The sequence below is a fragment of the Homo sapiens genome, chromosome 19, assembly GCF_000001405.40.
Source record: "Homo sapiens chromosome 19, GRCh38.p14 Primary Assembly".
NCBI classification, from domain to species: domain Eukaryota; kingdom Metazoa; phylum Chordata; class Mammalia; order Primates; family Hominidae; genus Homo; species Homo sapiens.
The window spans coordinates 23,471,465-23,489,785 of record NC_000019.10 but is presented as its reverse complement, the minus strand read 5'-3'; the positions used below and the strand labels follow the sequence as shown (position 1 = coordinate 23,489,785).

The following is an 18,321-nucleotide window of genomic DNA, read 5'->3' as shown; positions in this document are numbered from 1 at the left end:
CATTTTAAGAAGGTGTCTAATTTACTAGAAAGAAATTCTCAAAAATGCTGAAAGCAAATCTATTCTGTCTGCTTTGTATTGAATTTATTACTGTATAATCCTTGGCTTATGCTTCAGAATCTCCCCATGAAAATTCTCTGTTTTAAGTTGACTATTACTCATGTTAGACCCATAATTTTTGTTTGTTTGTTTGTTTAATAGTTTTTTTTTGTTTTTTTTTTGAGACGGAGTCTTGCTGTATAGCCCAGGCGGGAGTGCAATGGTGCTATCTTGGCTCACTGCAACCTTGGCATGACATTTTCAAGCAATTCTTCTACCTCAGCCTCCCAAGTACCTGGGATTACAGGTGCCTGCCACCATGCCCAACTAAGTTTCATATTTTTAGTAGAGACAGGGTTGGTCAAGCTGGTCTCAAACTACTGACCTCAGGTGATTCACCCACCTTGGCCTCCCAAAGTGCTGGGATTACAGGCATGAGCCACTGTGCCCAGCCTGTGTAATAGTTTATGAAGTATTCATTATGTGAGCTAGTCTGTAATTATAAGAATAATTTTTTTTAAAATCTCATTGTTCCATAATTTAATGGGGTACAGGTGATACTTGGTTGGATGAGTAAGTTCTTTAGTGATTTGTGAGATCCTGATAGACCCATCAGCTGACCAGTATACACTGCACCATATATGTTGTCTTCTATCCCTCCTTTTTCCCACTCTTCCCCCCAAGTCCCCAAAGTCTATTGTATCATTCTTATGCCTTTGTGTCCTCATAGCTTACCTCCCACATATCAGCGAGGACACACAGCGTTCGGTTTTCCATTCCTCAGTTACTTCACTTAGAATAATAGTCTCTAATCTCATCCAGGTCATTGCAAATGCTGTTAATTCATTCCTTTTTGTGGTTGAGTAGTATCCCAACATATATATATATATACACACATATATACACACACATATACACACCACACCTTCTTTATCTACTCGTTGATTGATGGGCATTTTGTTTGGTTCCACGATTTTGAAATTGTGAATTGTGCTCCTAGAAACATGAATGTTTAAGTATGTTTTTCTATAATCAGTATTTGGGTTTATTTTTGGGTTCTCTGTTTCATTGTTCTATGTTTCAAATAATGACTTCTTTTCCTGTGGGTAGATACCCAGTGGTGGGATTAAATGGTAGTTCTACTTTTAGTTCTTTAAGGAATCTCTACACTCTTTTCTATAGTGGCTGTACTAGTTTACATTCCCACCAGCAGTGTAGAAGTGTTTCCTGATTGCTTCATCCATGCCAACATCTACAGTTTATTGATCTTTTGATTATGGCCATTCTTGCAGGAATAAGATGGTATTACATTGTGGTTTTGATTTGCATTTCCCTGATCATTAGTGATGTTGAGCTTTTTTAAATCTATGTTTGTTGGCCATTTGTATATCTTCTTTTGAGAGTTGTCTAATCAAGAGCCCACTTTTTTATGGGAATTTTTTTTTTACTGAGTTGTTTGAGTTCATTGTAGATTCTGGATATTAGTCCTTTGTCAGATGTATAGATTGTTAAGATTTTCTCCCACACTGTGAGTTGTCTGTTTGCTCTGCTGACTGTTCCTTTTGCCGTGAAAAGCTCTTTAATTTAATTAGGTCTTAGCTATTTATCTTTGTTTTTACTGCATTTGCTTTTGGATTTTTGTCATGAAATTTTTGCCTAGCCAATGCCTAGAAGGGTTTTTCCAATGTTATCTTCCAAAATTTATACAGTTTCAGGTCTTAGGTTTAAGTTCTTAAGTCATCTTGAGTTGATTTTTGTATAAGGTGAGAGATGAGGATCCAGTTTTATTCTCCTACATGTGGCTAGCCAATTATTCCAGCACCATTTGTTGAAAAGGGTGTTCTTTCCCCACTTTATGTTTTTGTTTGCTTTGTTGAAGATCAGTTGGCTGCAACTATTTGGGTTTATTTCTGGGTTCTCTGTTCCATTGGTCTATGTGCCTGTTTTTATACCAGTACTATGCTGTTTTGGTGACTATGGCCTTACAGTATAGTTTGAAATCAGGTAGTGTGGTGCCTTCATTTTTTTTTTTTTTTTTTTTTTTTTGCTTAGCCTTCCTTTGTCTATGTGGGCTCCATATGAATGTTAGAATTGTTTTTTCCAACTCTGTTTTTCTAACTCACCATCTTCAGAATGATGGTGGTATTTTGATGGGGATTGTGTTGAATTTGTAGATTGCTTTTGGCAGTATGGTCATTTTCACAATATTGATTCTACTCATCCATGAGCATGGGATGTGTTTCCATTTGTGTCATCTATTATTTCTTTCAACAGTGCTTTGTAGTTTTCCTTGTAGAGGTCTTTTGAGTCCTTCATTAGGTGTGTTCCTAAGTATTTTATTTTTGTTGAGTTATTGTAAAAGGGGTTGAGTTCTTGATTTAATTCTCCGTTTGGTTGCTGTTGGTGAACAAAAGGGCTACTTATTTGTGTAGGTTAATCTTGTATCCAGAAACTTTGCTGAATTATTTTATCAGTTCTAGGAGCTTTCTGCAGGAGTCCTTAGGGTTTTCAAGGTAAATGATTATATCATCAGCAAACAGAGGCAGTTTGACCTTTTGTTTACTGATTTGGATGCCCTTTATTTTCTGTCTTATTGCTTTGGCTAGGACTTCCAGGATTGTGTTGAAGAGGAGTAGTGAGAGTGGGCATCCTTGTCTTGTTCCCGTTCTCAGAGGGAATGCTTTCAACTTTTCCCCATTCAGTATTATGTTGGCTGTGGGTTTGTCATAGATAGCTTTTATTATATCAAGCTGTGTCCCTTGTGTGCCAACTTTGCTGAGAGTTTTAATCATAAAAGATGCTGGATTTTGTCAAATGCTTTTTCTGAATCTATTGAGATGATCTTGTGATTTTAGTTTTAAATTCTATTTATGTGGTGTATCACATTGTTTTACCTGTGTGTGTTAAACCATCCCTGCATCCTGGTATGCAATCCACTTGATCACAGTGAATTATCTTTTTGACATGTTGTTGGATTTAATTAGCTAATTTTTTGTTAAGGATTTTAGCATCAATGTTTATCAATGATATTGGTCTGTAGTTTTCTTTTTAGGTTGTGTCTTTTCCTGGTTTGGGTATTAGGGTGATGCTGGCTTCATAGGATGAATTAGAGAGATTTCCTTCTTTCTCTGTATTAGTACTGATTCTTTGAATATCTGGTACAATTCTGTTGCGAACCTCTCTGGTCCTGGACTTTTTTTTGTTGGTGATTTTTAAATTACCATTTTAATCTCCCTGCTTGTTATTGGTCTGTTCAGGGTATGTAATTCCTCCTGATTTAAGCTAGGAGAGTTGTATTTTTCCAGGAATTTAAGTATCTCTTCTAGGTTTTCTAGTTCTTTTGTAAAGGTGTTTATACTAGCCTTCAATGATTTTTTTGTGTTTCAGTGGTGTCAGTTATAATATCTCCTGTTTCATTTCTCAGTGAGGTTATTTGGATTTTCTCTTTTTTTCTTTCTTAGTCTTGCTAATGGTCTATCAATTTTATGTATTTTTCCTAAGGAGAAGCTTTTTGTCTCATTCATTTACCTTTTGTATTTTTTTTTGTTTCAATTTCATTTAGTTCTTTTCTGATCTTGGTTATTTCCTTTTTTTCTGCTGGGTTTGGGTTTGGTTTGTTCTTGTTTCTCTTTTCTCTAGTTTCTTGAGGTATGACCTTAGATTGTCTGTTTCTGCTCTTTCAGACTTTCTGATGTAGGCACTTAGGGCTATGAACTTTCCTCTTAGCACCACCTTTCCTGTATCCCAGAGGTTTTGAAAGGCTGTGTCATTATTGTCACTCAGTTAGAAAAGTTTTTAATTTCCATATTGATTTTGTTTTTGCCCCAGTGCTCATTCAGGAGCAGGTTACTGAATTTCCATGTTTTTGCATGGTTTTGAAAGTTTCTTTGTGTGTTGATTTCCAGTTTTATTCCACTGTAGTCTGAGAGAGTGCTTGAAATAATTTCAATTTTCTTAAATTTATTGAGGCTTGTCTTATGGCCTATCATATGATCTATCTTGGAGAAAGTTCCATGCGCTATTGAGCAGAATGTGTGTTCCATGGTTGTTGGATGAAATGTTTTGTGTATATCTGTTAGTCCATTTTTTCCAAGGTGTAGTTAAATTCATTGTTTCTTTGTTGACTTTCTGTCTTGATGACCTGTGTAGTGCTGTCAGTGGAGTATTGAAGTCCCCCACTATTATGATGTTGGTGTCTATCTCATTTCTTCTGTCTATTAGTAATTGTTCTATAAATTTTGGAGCTCCAGTGTGATGTTTGTATATTTAGGATTGCATATATGTTTAGGATTGTGATGTTTTCCTGTTGGGTCAGGCCATTTACCGTTATATAATGTCCTTCTTTGTCTCTTTTAACCACAGTTGCTTTAAAGTTTGTTTTGTCTGATATAAGCATAGCTACCCCTGCTTACATTTGGTGTCCATCTGCATGAAATGCCTTTTTACACCCCTTTACTTTATTTGAGTCTTTATGTTAGGTGAGTCTCCTGAAGATGGCAGATAGTTGGTGAGTTCTTATCCATTCTGCCGTTCTGTGTCTTTTAAGTGGAGCATTTAGGTCATTTACATTCAATGTTAGTATTGAAATATGAGGTACCATTGCATTCATCATGATCTTTGTTGGCTGCATACTTTGGTGTTTTGTTGTTGCTGTTGTTGTTGTTGTTGTTTTGGAATGGAGTCTGCTCTGTCACCCATGGTGGAGTGCAGTGGCTCGATCTTGGCTCACTGCAACATCCGTCTTCCAGGTTCAAGTGATTCTCCTGCCTCAGCCTCCTGAGTAGCTGGTACTACAGGTGCTCACCACTACACCGGGCTAATTTTTGTATATTTAGTACAGACAGGGTGTCACCATATCAGATAGGGTGGTCTCGAACTCCTGACCTTGTGATCCACCCACCTCAGTCTCTCAAAGTGCTTACTGGAATTACAGGTGTGAGCCACTGCATCGGGTATTTTTTTTTAACTTGTATTTTTATTTTATAAGTCTTGTTTGATTTATGCTTTAAAGAGTTTCTGGGCTGGGCACAGTGACTCACTCCTATAATGCCAGCACTTTGGGAGGCTAAGGCGGGTGGATCACCTGGGGTCAGGAGTTTGAGACCAACCTGATCAACATGGAGATACCCCCTTCTCTACTAAAAATACAACTGTTTCTTTCCTTCATATATGATGCTTAGTTTCATTGGATGCAAAATTCTTGGCACATAATTGTTTTGTTTGAGGAGGCTGAAGATGGGGCCCCAATCCCTTCTAGTTTGTATGGTTTCTCCTAAGTAGTCTGCTGTTAATCTGGTAGGTTTTCCTTTATAGGTTACCTGGTGCTTCTGTCTCACAACTCTTAAGATTCTTTCCTTTGTCTTTACTTTGGATAAGCTGATGACAGTGTGCTTAGGCGAAGATCTCTTTGCAATGAATTTTCCAGGTGTTCTTTGTGCTTCTTGTATTTGCATGTCTAGGTCCCTAGCAAGGCCAGAGAAGTTTTCCTTGATTATTCCCTCAAATATATTTTTCAAGCTTTTAGAATTGTCTTCTTCCTCAGGAACACAAATTATTCTTAGGTTTGGTCATTTAACATAATTCCAGACTTCTTGGAGGCTTTGTTCATATTTTCTTATTCTTTTTTATTTGTCTTTGTTGAATTTGGTTAATTCAAATATCTTGTCTTTGAACTCTGAATTTCTTTCTTCTACTTGTTACTGCTGAGACTTTCCAGAGCATTTCGTATTTCTAAAAGTCTGTGCAAAGTTGCCTGAATTTTTGATTTTTTTTTCTTTAAGCTATATATTTTGTTGAATATTTCTTCCTTCACTTCTCATATGATTTTTTTTTTATTTTGTTGCATTGGGCTTCACCTTTCTCTTGTCTCTCCATCATTAGCTTAAGAACTAACCTCCTGAATTCTTTTTTTAGATAAATCAGGGATTTCTTCTTGGTTTGGATCCATTGCCAGTGAGCTAGTGTGATTTTTTTTTTTTGTGGGGTGTTGACAAACCTCCTTTTGTCATACAACCTGGTTTGCTTTTCTGGTTCCTTCTCATTTGGGTAGTCCCTTTCAGAGGGAAGGTCTAGAGCTGAAAACTGTTGTTCAGATTTTTTTTTTTTATCCCTCAGGGTGTTCCCTTGATGTAGTACTCTCCCCCTTTTCCTGTGGATGTGGTTTCCTGTGAGCTGAACTACAGTGATTGGTTGTCTCTCTTCTGGATCTAGCCACCCAATGAGTCTTCCCAGCTCCAGACTGATACTTGGGGTTGTCTGCACAGAGTCCTGTGATGTGAAGTGTTTATGAGTCTCTCAGCCATGGATACCAGTGCCTGTTCTGGTGGAGGTGGCTAAGGGTGCAATGGACTCCATGGGTGTCCTTAGCTTTGGTGGTTTAATGCTTTATTTTTGTGCTGGTAGACCTCCTGCCAGGAGATAGTGCTTTCCAGAAAGCATCAGCTGTAGTACTGTTGAAAGGGACTAGCAGTGGGTGGGAACCCAGGACTCCCAAGATTATATGTCCTTTTTCTTCTGCTACCATGGTGTTTAGGGAAAGACCAATGGGTGCGGGGGGTGCTAGGCATGCCTGAGTTCAGAGTCTCCTTGGGTGGTTGTTGCTGAAGCTGCTGTGGCAGATGGGGGTGAGATTCCCAGGTCACTGGAGTTGTGTACCTAGGAGGATTATGGCTGTCTTTGCTGAGTCATGCAGGGTGTCAGGGAAGTGGGGGAAAGCTGGCAGTCACAGGCCTTACTCAGCTCCCATGCAAACGAAAGGGCTGGTCTCACTCTCACTGTGCCCTTCATAACAGACCTGAGTCTGTTTCCAGGTGGAGGGCGAGTTGGGCTTGAAAATTTCCCCAGGCTTTCTGTCTCCCAGCTGCGGGAAAAAAAAGGGCTTTAGTTCTTCCATGCCTGTGAAGTCTTCAAGCCGGATTCATGCCTTCCCCCAAGTTCTGGCCATAAGTCTTCTTGCCCCATTCAAATTGTTACAAAGTTCAGCTAGGGAAGTCCTTCTCCCCTTGGAAGTTTTACCCCCTGCTCCTCTGTCCTCCCCTTGATGGATCCCTGTGGTGCTAGGCAGGAATGGGCTCCTTGGGGATTCAGCGAGCTCCCAGGGCCTCTTTGTTGCCTCCTACACCCCTGTATTTCACTCAGCTTGGCTCTCTAACTTGACGCAGCTCCAGGTAGTTAGAAACTTCTCCCACAAACAGACTTTCAGCTTCTCCAGTGGGGTTGTGTGTTTAGGAGAGGAGGATCTCCCTTTCCCACTTCTGCAGTTGTGGCACTCACAGTATTTGGGGTGTCTCCAGGGTCCTGCAGGAGCAGTCTGCTTCCTTCAGAGAGTCTGTCCTGATGCCTTTAAAGACACAGTCTCAAGATGAAATGGTGATTTGTTCAGATAATCTCTCCTGAGAAGGAATCAGAGAAGAGAGGAAGAAATGGTTGATTGTCAGGTAAGTGTGTCCCAGGTCAAAATTCTGTCCACATTTTCTTCTAGAATGTCATGTATTTAGAATTGCAATAATTTACATTTCTACTTCTGATGCTTTTGCCTAACAAGATTATTTGAACTACATTTCTCTTGTCTTCTCGTGACAGTGAAAGGACCTCATTAAAATAATTCACTTCTATATATCAGAACCTTATCTTTATTCTCTCCATCCAGGCTTCTTACATATCACAACTAATACCTTGAATTTATACCCTGAAATATTGAGAGTATTCCCTTTGTTGACAGATCAGCCTGGGCAGGTGGGGATATAAAACATTCTTATTGGGGATGGTGCTGGGTCCTCAGATATCAGTGAGGGAGAAAACCGCACCTTTTGGGTTCCATCGGAGGGCTCCATCAGCTCTATGAAGAACATAATTTTTAAATGCACACTTTAAAAGGATGAAATTAATAGCCTGGAATAATTTAGAAAGATATTTAAAGGAATGAATTCAAAGAAATTTGCCTTCTAGAATGCTAAAAGAGTTTTTAGATACACTACTAGAAATTACAAAACATGGGCAACATATGTGGCTTGAACTTTACATAAAACACATTTTTCATGATTAGATTCAGATTATAATTTATGTTTTTTGGCCAGTAGTCTCACAGAGTCATGTTGCATCCTCCTATATGTATCAGCACCTGATACCAATCTGTCCCATTAATTTTATTAACTTGGTTAACGTGTTTTCTGAAGAATTTCTTCACTATAATGTTTCTTTTTAAAAACTGTATTATTAATAGGTATTTTGGAGAGGTGACTAATGTGCATAAACAATCACATTTACTCTGAAAGCTCCCCTATCATGCCAAGTGTCAGGTTCCAGCCTAATCTGAGGTCTAACAGGAGTGGGTGGGTGAGTGGTGGGTTGCTGGAAAAACAATCAAGGAACTATGGGAATTTTTGAGATGGCTTTTTTTTCTCTCTAGGCACAAGCCTGAGCACGAGCCCTGTGTACAGGGTGAGCAGCTTTACTCTCCCTCTCCCTCCTGTCCACCTGTCTGTGTACTCTTTTCACTCAATAGTGGATCAGAGCCAAGTATGAGCTTATACAACCAGGTTACATAATAAGTAGAATGGTGCACCTGCACTCTAAACTAACTGAGTCATGCTGAACCAGACGTTTACCATGGCCTATTTTTGACCACAGAACATCCATTTTTCTTACACTCTTTTTCTTAATAGTTTCTCTTTGTTTATACATTGCTTTGGAAAATGAAGGCTGTCATCTTTGTTTACTGGTCATATACATGGGGAAAAAACCCAGGTTCTATCACTTACTAGATGTTTTACAGAGTATTTTTCTTAAGCTAGAATCATTGACATCATTGGTGAGTTTGTTAGCAATACAGTAACTCAGGTCTCATCCCAGATCTCTTGAATTAGAATACGTATTTTAACAAAATCTCCAGTTTATTAATGTATGCATTAAAATTCGAGAGGTAACTTCTAACTTACTGTGACTTCTCCATATGAGAACTGTACACACCTTACTCTGTATAATGTATATATGGCACTCAAAACTGTAAATGCTTGTGTTTTTGCCATAAATATTATGCTGTGTCATTCAGAAAACTATAATACATACACTGGTTTTGTGGATCTTGTTTCATCCTCTTTCCTCAGAATGAAGGAATACATTAGAGAATCTTTCTCTATTGAACAATATTTTATTGGATAATGCCAGTCTCTTATGTGAAACAGAGCCAGTTCTCTTAACTCTCAAACACTTAGAGTAAAATTAATAATTCTGCCTATGACCACTTGCTAAGTATGTGTGGGTCTTTGGGTTTATTTTAGGAAATGTTAACTTTCAAGGCTGTGGCCATAGAATTCTCTCAGGAGGTGTGGAATGTCTGAATACTGCTCAGTGAAATTTGTTCAGAGATGCAGTGTTAGAGAACTGCCGAAAACTGGTCTCTCGGTGTCAATACATTTTCCCCAGGTTTTCTAATACACCCTAAGGCTTCTATTTTCTCCCTTTGTAGAATGATTTTGGCAGTTTTTCCTCTGCACAAATTATTTTTAGATCAACACTTTTAAGGAAAACTTGAAGGTTTACTGGAACAGAAAAGAAAATCTTCAAGATGTTTTAACAGGAAACTTCCCCTTTCTTGAGCTAATCTGTATTCTTCACTCTAGATTAATGGTCATTCTAGAAATTCAGTGGCATTAAATATTCTTGCCCAAATATTAAAATTCAATATCCAGCACCAATTTTAAATTCAATAATATTGAATAGTAGAGCTAAGGACCCAGAAATGTAAAATATGTTCTAAATATTCAAAAGTTTCTGTCAGAAAACAGTATTTTGGAATTAAATTTCTAGAATCTTTCATATTTTCTCCTCTCTACTGAACATGGTACAAGGTTGGTAACTGTAGAATCTCAGCAAGTTATGTTACTTTTTTCTAACAAAACAGGCCTTGCTGTCTCTAAACCTGATCGCATCTCCTGCCTTGAGCAAATAAAAGACCCCTGGAATGTGAAGAGACATGAGACAGTGGTCAAATACTCAGGCAGGTAAGCATGAATGAAGCAGATAACACAGACGAGAGGTACAAAGGTCAAAAAGAATTGCAGACCTTAAAATGTGGTATGGGATGCTCTGCTTCAGTGGAAATGTTTCCTAAAAAGCCATTTTTTATTCTGTAGCTTTTGTATAGGAGCATCATTTGTCCCATACCATTAAATTCTCTATGGACGTTACTTGCTATTTAGTGATTTTCCTTTGAAGGTACCGTGAGAGCTAAAGTCCTCTTTATGGCTTATAAGGTGCTGCATGATATGCCTCCTCTTCCATTGCTTCAAGGGGGGATATAAGAATATCTCTGAGTATTTTGAGGAAGTGCATGTTAGATCATTTCTGAAGTTTTCTTTTTCCATCATATCTGAAGTGTGTGAGAGCAGTGGTGACATTAAGATTTGTTTCAGAAATCTCAGGAACATCAATGACAGATGTTACTTGCTATTTCTGTATTTTTTCTTTTCTTTCTTTCCTTTTTGTTTTTGTTTGTTTGTTTGTTTGTTTGTTTGAGGCAGAGTTTTGCTCTTGTTGCCCAGGCTGGAGTACAATGGCATGATCTCAGCTCACCACCATCTTCCCCTCCTGGGTTCAAGTGATTCTCCTCTGGGTTCAAGAGATTCTCCCACTTCAACCTCTGGAGTAGCTGGGATTACAGGCATGTGCCACCATGACCAGCTAATTTTGTATTTTTAGTAAAGATGGTGTTTCCCAATGTTGGTCAGGCTGGTCTTGAATTTCCGAACGTAAGTGATCCTCCCGCCTTGGCATCCCAAAGTGCTGGGATGACAGGCGTGAGCCACCGTGCCCAGCCTCTATTTTTTCTTTTTGATATTAGTAATTTTAACAGATTTGAAGTCATACCTCATCACTGTTTTCATTTGCAGTTGCCTATTTGTAGGTGATATTAGGTATCATTTTCATGTAATAAACTAATTTTCTTTGAGTAGATACCCAATGATGAGGTTTCTGAATCAAATCGTAGTTTTATTTTTAGTTGAGATTGAGCATGTTTTTTATATGCGTGTTGGTTATTTGTATGTCTTTATTGAAAAATGCTTAGTAGTATTTGCTCATTTTTCAATGGGATTTCTTATTATTATGATATTTTTGAATTGTTTGAGTTATTTGTAAATTCTGAATATTGGTTTCATGTTGGCCCATAGTTTGCAAATATATTCTTTTATTCTGTAGGTTGCCTATTTATCCTGTTGATTTTTTTTTTTTTTTTTACTGTGCAAAAACTCTTTTGTGTCCCATTTGTCTATTTTTTATAATAATAATATAATAATAGTTTTCTTTGTTGTGTCCTTGGCTAGTTTTGGTATCAGGGTGATACTGACCTCAGAGTGACTTAGGGAGAATTTAATTATCTTCAATTTTTGGGAAGAGTTTAAGGAGGATTATTATTCTTTGTATATTTGGTAGAATTTGGCTGTGCGTTTATCCAGTCCTGAGCTTTTCTTTGTCGAGATACTTTTTATTACTGACTCAATCATGCTACTCATTACTGGTTTGTTCAGGTACTCTATTTCTTCCTGGCTCTATCTTGGGAGGTTGTATGTTTTCATGAATTTATTCATTCTTTTTAGGTTTTCAGGTTTATTAGTGTCTAGATGTTTATAATCATTTCTAGTGAACTTTTGTATTACTGTTGTATCCATTGTAATGTCTTCTTTCATAACTGATTTTGTTTATTTAGATTTTCATTCTGTTTGTGGTTAATCTACCTAGCAATTTACCCATTTTGTCTTTTTGGAAAACCAACTCTATTCTGTTGATCATTTTTATTGTTTTTCATCTCTATTTCATTTGGTTCTGTTCTGATTTTTGTTATTTTTTTCTTCTAACTTGGAATTTTGTTTATTATTAATTTTCTAGTTCCTTGAAGAGTGTGTGATGTCAGGTGCTCAATATGTAAGCTTTCTACTTTTTTGATGCAGTCATTTAGGCTGTAAACTGCCCTCTTAGTATTATATTTGCTTTATCTCACAGGTTTTATTATATTGTGTTTGTCTTTCCATCTTTTTTCCCACACATTTTTAATTTTTATCTTAATTTTCTTTTTGAAATGGGTTTTAATCTGTCACCCAGGCTGGAGGGCAGTGGAACAATCTTGGCTCACTGCAACCTCCACCTTCCAGGATCAAACCATCTTTTTATCTCAGCCTCCCGAGTAGCTAGGACCATAGGTGCGCACCATTACATCTAGCTATTTTTTAAAATTTTTTATAGAGATACAGTTGTGGCATGTTGCCCAGGCTAGTCTCAAAGTCCTGACCTCAGGTGATTCACCTGCCTCAGCCTCCCAAAGTGCTGGGATTACAGAGATGAGCCGCCACTCCTGGCTGGCCATTTTAATTACTTCATTTACAGTTTTTGGGAACAAGCCCCCCAAAATCTGTCCATAAACTGGCCCTGAAATTGGCCATAAACAAAATCTCTGCAGCACTGTGACATGTTCATGATGGCCATAACACCCACACTGGAAGGTTGTGTGTTTAGCAGAATGAGGGCAAGGAGCACCTGGCCCGCCCAGGGCAGAAAACCACTTAAAGGCATTCTTAAGCCACAAACAATAGCATGAGTGATCTATGCCTTAAGGACATGCTCCTGCTGCAGTTAATTAGCCCAACCTATTCCTTTAATTTGGCCCATCCCTTCATTTCCCAGCCTGACCAATGTGGTGAAACCTGTCTCTACTAAAAATATAAAAATTAGCTGGACGTGGTGGTGGGTGCCTGTAATCTGAGCTACTGGGGAGGCTGAGGCAGGAGAATTGCTTGAAACAGGGAGACAGAGACTGTAGTGAGCCTACATTGCACCACTGCACTCCAGCCTGGGCAACAGAGCAAGACTCCATCTCTCAAACAAGTAAAATAAAATAAGTAAATCAACATGCAGTAGTCAGTGAGCATCAGCCATGCAATTGTGCTAGGTACAGAAGATGGAAAAAATATCCTTGAGGTAGGAGAAACATGTTAACAGATAAATTACAGCAGACAGACTTGATAGACGAGGGTAAAAGTTATTAGGAACAGAAGGCCTAATTCTCCCTAGAAAAGGTACTATTTGAGATGGGTCTCAACGAAGAGTAAAGAGTAAATATTCTTTGCTGGGGGAAGGGGATGGAGACACAACAAAAAGAACAACCCATGCAACAGCAGGGGCAGTAAAGAATTATTCAGTGTGTCAGTGATGTGGAAGACAGAGACAAGAGCCAAGACTAGCAATTTGGTTTGGAAGCAGATATGGGTCTTCGTAAAACAAGTGAAGGAGTTTGGATTTTTCTTTTTGCAGACAGCAGGGAGGCAAGAGATGTTATTAGGCAGGCAAACAATGACAGCAGCTTTTGTTTTTGAGGATGATGACTCTGGCAGCAAGCTGGAAGATTAACAGCAGTAGAGAGAAACTGGTGGCAGAAAATTAAGAGGTGCTTATGACTCAATGAGGGCCTTAGGTCAGAAGTGATTAAACAGCCAAAGTCAGTGACTGAAGCATGGTTTTGAGGAGAGCCTGGTGACTGATTGGACATGGGGGTGAGAGAGACATGCATCAGGACAGCCATCAGTAATGTTCCTGGCCTAGTAGGTTGTGTGCATGGCAATCACCTTCCAGAAGGAATGGACATTACTTTCATTTTTACAAGTACTTGCAGGGTGAGGGACTTGTAGTGTGATCAGGATCACAAAAGATTACTGCTTCAGAAAAATTGTAAGTGAAAATGTAGAGTTAGAGTTGTCAGTTTATAGGTTAAAGGAGAGGGCACAAAAGCACCAGAATGCACAGGGCACTCTGCAGGAACAGAACTCACTCCCAAGTATGGGAGGTGAAAGGTTGCTGCAGAGAACAGGTACCTGGCAACTGACTGCAATGGGATGCTTACAGTCTGTCCACTGATTTCAGAATTTTAAAACAACTATTCTCAAGTGTTGCACATGTCTCTAAGGTAAGTGGGAGCCCAGACCACTGTGGAGGCAACTGTCTGCTTACTGCAGGCAGCCCTTTCTTTTCTGGAATTCAGTCTCCTCATCTTCCTGCCTTATCTCGTGCATATTTCCTGCTTGTGTAGTAGGGTGGAAAGTGGAAGGGCAGGACAAAGGTCAAATCAGTGGCACTTATTTGCTAAACATATACTAGACAGTTCTGGTGTGAGGCCTGGGGTCCCAGATCATATAAATTATCACTGTCTCCTTTATTGCATCCCTGTATTGTCCCCATCCATCTCAGCCAGGGCAGCTGGCTAACATCCACTCTCTCAAGACGACATGTGTGGACAGAAGACCTGGCTCAGAAACACCAGTCTATGAAAAGGGCAGATAGTTATGTAAGAATTTTGCAAAAACTTGAGAAATTAAAATAAGGGAGACTATGAATGCAAAAACATTAACTATCAAGCTAGTAAGAGCTAGTTCAAAGAATTTTTTTAAAAGATATACTCCACGTAACTGAAAACATGAGGGAGACTGGCAGATGACAGCATCAGAGCGAATTTCCTAAATAACTCAGGTAGGAGCCACCTACCAAAACAACTTTACAGAGCCAATGCATCTCATTTGTTGAAGAAGCTGATGAGTTCTAGAGCTCTTATTTACTATGGAGTTTTCAAATACACTGAATACCACTTAATGTTTTCCTCAATCCCAAGCTTCTTGTAAAACTTTGACCTTGCCAACCATGGCATCTTAGAGGCAAATAAAAGCTTACTTACTTTATGGAATTTCAGATTTCTAAATATAGCACATGCAATACAGGGAATGCACCCACTGTGCTTGTGGATGCAATAAAGGCCACTACTACACCTCTCAAGCAGGCTTGCTTGACTTCAGCTCTGCTGACATTTGTGGCTATCCTGTGCATTGTAATATGCTGAGCAGCATTTCTAGTGTCTGTATACTTAAGGCCAGTAGCACCCTTCCCCAAAGCAAATCACTCAAAAATTCAAAATTCTGGAAAGGAAATCCACAGTGGATACCCACAAAACTTCCTGATCTCAAAATAAACCACTTTATTCCATATGTAGGTTTTGAGTTTCTGGAACATTTATTTATCTTTACAACAATCCCATGAGGTAGAAAGGCTACTGAAAAGATGTCTATCATCATATTCATCAATGGCAACGTCACCAGAGGCTAAAGTTTCATTTGAAATTCCCTTATACCTTCAAATTCAATCAAATTTATTTTGAAAAAAAAAGGTCTTTATTAAAAATAACAACACACATACACAGAGGTAAATAAGCAGTATACATTTAAATCTATGATTTTTTTTTTTTTTGAGATCAAGCTGACTCTATAAAGCAGGTGTTCCATGGAGCTAGATGGTAGTTAGGAATTGTGGATGCTGAGCTTAATTTATTGCCAGCCACTGGGTACCTCATAAAGCAGCTATAAAATGGGTCAACATACCCACCCAACCCTAATAGTGTTGTTCTGAGTATAAACATGGAATCTTTCCTGAATGATTTCAAAGAAGCAGGGTGAAAATAACTTAGTCCAAGAAGGTACATCAAAATGAATAAAGAACATTTTAAAGTAATTAAACTACCAGAAATATCACACATTTATATAGTCCTACCCCATTGTCTCTGAGAACACGGAAAAAAGAGAAAATACAAAGCAAGCTAGGGAAAGACAAATACAGTTTTTAAAAGCTCTAATTAACCCCACTAAGAATTTTTTTGGCTACCTGGTGTATGTCAGGCACTGTACAATGTAGGGCAGTGCTCCTCAACCCTGTTGGCACCAGGGTCTGGTTTTGTGACAGACAATTTTTTCACGGATGTGGCAAGATGGTTTTCTATTGGTATGATTTAAGCGCATTACACTTACTGTGCACTTTGTTTCTATTATTACATTATAATATATAATGAAATAATTATACAGCTCACCATAACGTAGAATCAGTGAGAGCCATGGGATTGTTTTCCTGCAACTAAAGGTTCCCATCTAGGGGTGATGACAGACAGTGAGAGATCCTTAGGCGTTAGATTCTCGTAAATAGTGTACAACCTACATCCCTCACGTGCGCAGTTCACAATAGGGTCTGCACTCCTACGATAATCTAATGCTGCTGCTGATTTGTAATGCGAGTGATGGGGAGTGGCTGTGAATCCTGATGAAGCCTCGCTCATCCACTGCTCACCTCCTGCTGTGCGGTTTGGTTTATAACAGACCACAGACTGGTATCAGTCTGTGCCCTGGGTGTTGAGGACTCCTGATGTAGGGCAACAATGTTTATTCATTTATTTATTGAGTGTAGTGCTGTAATCTCAGCTCACTGCAATCTCTGCCTCCCGGGTTCAAGTGATTCTCCTGCCTCAGCCTCCCGAGTAGCTGGGATTACAGGCATGAGCCAAGAAGCACGGCTAATTTTGTATTTTTAGTAGAAATGGGGTTTCACCATGTTGGTCAGGCTGGTCTTGATCTCCTGACCTCAAGTGATCCACTCGCCTAGGCCTCCCAAAGTGCTGAGATTACAGGTGCAAGCCACCATGACCGGCTGGCAACTACATTTATTACCATCCATTTATTACTAGGTCACCCATGTTGTACAGTGCCTGGCACAGACCAGGTGGCCAATAAACAGCTATTGATCTAATGCAGGAATAATAAGGTAAGGTTTATTTTTTCTCCTTCAACATGCTGTACCTTTGCCAGATGCAAATAAGACCTCAAAAGTCTGCCTGAATAAACTTAAAATAAAAGACCCTTTCATCAAACGGTCACTTAGATGGTGTAACAAGTTAGGTATGAATGTATCACCTGTACCAGCTCAGTGAAATGCGTGTTAACCATCACATAACAAACTCGTGTCTGGCACGCTAAGGGCTTTGAGTCTGAATTTCTGATGAGAAATAAAGTGGTATATAGAAAACCCCAGAGAATGATATTCCATATATCCATAAGCATCAGTAGCACTTCTTAAAAGTCTCGCACATCCAGCAAACCCTTTAAAAATGAGATATCCTAATATGCAACCAGTTTAGCAGTATTTTTAAGAATGATAAGGGCTGGGCACGGTGGCCCATGCCTGCAATACCAGCACTTTGGGTGGCCGAGGTGGGCGGATCACCTGAGGTCGGGAGTTCAAGACCAGCCTGACCAACATGGAGAAACCCTGTCTCTACTAAAAATACAAAAATCAGCAGGGCTTGGTGGTGCATGCCTGTAATCCCAGCTACTGGGAAATCTGAGACAGGAGAATCACTCGAACCTGGGAGGCGGAGGTTGCAGTCAGCCAAGATCGTGCCATTGCACTCCAGCCTGGGCAACAAGAGCAAAACTCCGTCGCAAAAATAAATAAAATAAAATAAAATAAAATAAAATAAAATATAAAATAAAATAAAATAAAATAAAATAAAATAAAATAAGATAGGGCAACTTCATTTACCTAAAATGGAGCACAAGATCCTTTAGAAGGAACTCATACTCATTCCTGCAAAAATTCTGCCAACTCTTGAAGGTAGCACAGAATTAAGCATTTGTGTGTGTGTGTGTTTCCAAAGAGGTTTTAGCCAAGATTGTGGTCTCTAACAGACTCCCTGATTAAAATAGGGTTTAGAAACTATACTGCCTACTTGAAAAAGCATCAAATCTAGAGAATGCTTTTCACAGGTATGAAAAAAATGAAAACAAAATCACATTCTTCTATTTGCAATTCCCTTTCCCTCACTTTCCACTTCTATTAAATATACTTCAGTAACATTGTGCATAGGTGCAGAGACCACACATATCTAAAAAAGGAAAAAACCCTCAAATATATGGGGATGGACTGGCGACTCTGCCTTTGCAGAAATCATTTTGTTTCCTCCAGACAGAAGTGTCTCATTATTTTCAGCATTCCTATCTAAAAGGCAAACTTTGTTTCCATTGACTTTGAAAGGGCTAAGCTTAAATCTGAACTCTTAAACAAGGACAAGAGTTCAATTTTCTATTAATGAAAATCCCAGACAGGTTTTTCAGCCTACCAAATCGTTATACTTTTCTTATTCACTCTTCTATCTCTCTCCACAACCACCAACATTACCACCCACAAAAGAAGAAGAAAATCCCTCCAATGTTCCCTGAATGTGTGCTGCTGCTAGCTCGGAAGCTGTGTAGAGTTTTGTAATGGAGTGTGAACTGCTGCCCCGGATCTGGGCTGTATCTGTGTTCTATCTCCTATCCAGTCAGGAGAGAAAAAGGACAAATCCGCTGAGCAGGGAAAAATTCTTTCCGCCTCATTTATAACCTCTCATGGATGCAGCGCTGAAGAGGGTCGCTAGGCACACGGGGACCC

At 39.0% G+C, this 18,321-nt stretch overlaps 1 long non-coding RNA gene across 1 annotated transcript; it reads left to right on the top strand.

The window, feature by feature from the left end:
• LOC105372334 (uncharacterized) lies at nt 318–14,757 on the top strand. Its single transcript, XR_936479.2, has 3 exons — nt 318–346; nt 7,332–7,475; nt 9,941–14,757. It is a non-coding gene; the product is annotated as an uncharacterized LOC105372334 (long non-coding RNA).
• The last annotated feature ends 3,564 nt before the right edge of the window (nt 14,758–18,321 follow it).